Below are 1,469 nucleotides of genomic sequence, written 5' to 3'. Positions count from 1 at the left end.
GGGAAGCAGGGAGAATGTTAGCCAAGGGATAGAGACCAGCAATGGATGATGGAGAATGATAGGACCCCAGTAAGTCAACAGAATACATTTATTGTAATATTATTTACTACACCCTTAATCTGCGTCAAGTCCTTTCTATACACAATGCCATTTAAACTTGACCACAACCCTGTGAAGGCAAGGCAGGGGAAAGCAAGGGAGGGGATGAAATGGGAAGTCCCCTCAGGGTGCTGAGAATTCCCCCAAACTGCAGAATCTTGACTGAAGTACATCTGACGGCAAAGCCCAAACGCGTCTAGAGTCTTGAACTCCTTGATCAGAGGCTTTTCTGAAAACTGCCCCTCCCTCTGGCTGCCCAACGTGTGGCAGGTTGAGAAGCCTTATTAAAGGCCTTTCATAAAAGCTCCAGTCGAGGAGCATCTGCTCCTGGTGTGTGAGAGATTACACAATGAGTGATCTTGGCCAGGGAGACCTAGCCAGCTCCAGGCTCCGCTGGGGAGACAAGATTTCAAAAGGCAGCCGCTCAATTAGGGAAACAGCCTTTCCTGGCCGTGCCTCTGAATTTCATTTCCAGCACAGGCTCCTCTGGTTAATGATAAGAAGCCCAAGATAAGAGCCTGATTGTTGCCTGAATGGCTTCCTTCCTGAGGGAGGGGAAAAAAGGAAAGAAAAAGATTAGCACAAGCATCAGACTCCTGATTTAGCTTTCCTTCTGAAATAATAAAATAAGTAAACAACAAAGAGCTTTTTACCATCAGAGGCTGTGTGGATTTCTCTTCTTGCACTGCCCCATTCAGGTTGTGTTTTATTTTCTAAGGTTGACCCTCTGCATTGTAGGGCATTGTATTCTCTTTCTATAGGAGGCACTTAATGGATTAAATTTGCAAAGAGTCAATGGCAATCAGCCATCCATCAGAGAGGTCTATTTACATGCAGTCACTCCTGTAGTTTTTGAAGAGCACAGAATTAAAAGAAAAAAATTGCTGGAAAATACAATTATGAGAATCTTTTGTCCCTCTTGGCACCACCTCTTTATAACCTTCTATCTGCTAAGGGGGAAGGGAAGGCGCTGTGTAATGATGTACGGACAGATGCTTGAAGGCTGGGCGTGGCTTCTGGGGTAAAAAAAGGAGAATCGGTATCAGTGCAGTGTATGAGCCTCCTGGTTCTTAGAGTTTTCTATTCAGCTGCCGGTGTTATCCTTGTGAGTGCATGGAAACCACCCCGAACAATCCAATTTAGAACAGCTTTTAAAATTCTTCACAAAAAGCAAGATGGCCTTAATTAAAATTTGAGATTCAAGCCTGTCAGCGTGGTCACACTTTCCGAGTGGTTCAGGGAATTTTACATCTCCTATTCCATGTAGGATTTGCACTGGTGAATCTTTCAATGAAATGACCATGTTATTATTTTTATGTTTGAAAATCTGCACATTGAAGATTCTGTTTTTCGATTTTAGTGTGCTTTGT

General features: G+C 43.5%; 1 annotated feature.

Moving 5' to 3' along the window:
- Positions 217-1,117: an enhancer, noted in NCBI's record as "NANOG hESC enhancer chr2:192343668-192344568 (GRCh37/hg19 assembly coordinates)". NCBI's record gives its function as "activates a minimal SCP1, AML or CMV promoter by ChIP-STARR-seq in primed H9 embryonic stem cells {active_cell/tissue: H9 hESC(primed)}" and the evidence as "EXISTENCE:reporter gene assay evidence [ECO:0000049][PMID:30033119]".

The sequence above is a fragment of the Homo sapiens genome, chromosome 2 (genome assembly GCF_000001405.40).
Source record: "Homo sapiens chromosome 2, GRCh38.p14 Primary Assembly".
NCBI lineage: Eukaryota > Metazoa > Chordata > Mammalia > Primates > Hominidae > Homo > Homo sapiens.
This window is presented reverse-complemented; position numbering and strand designations above follow the sequence as displayed.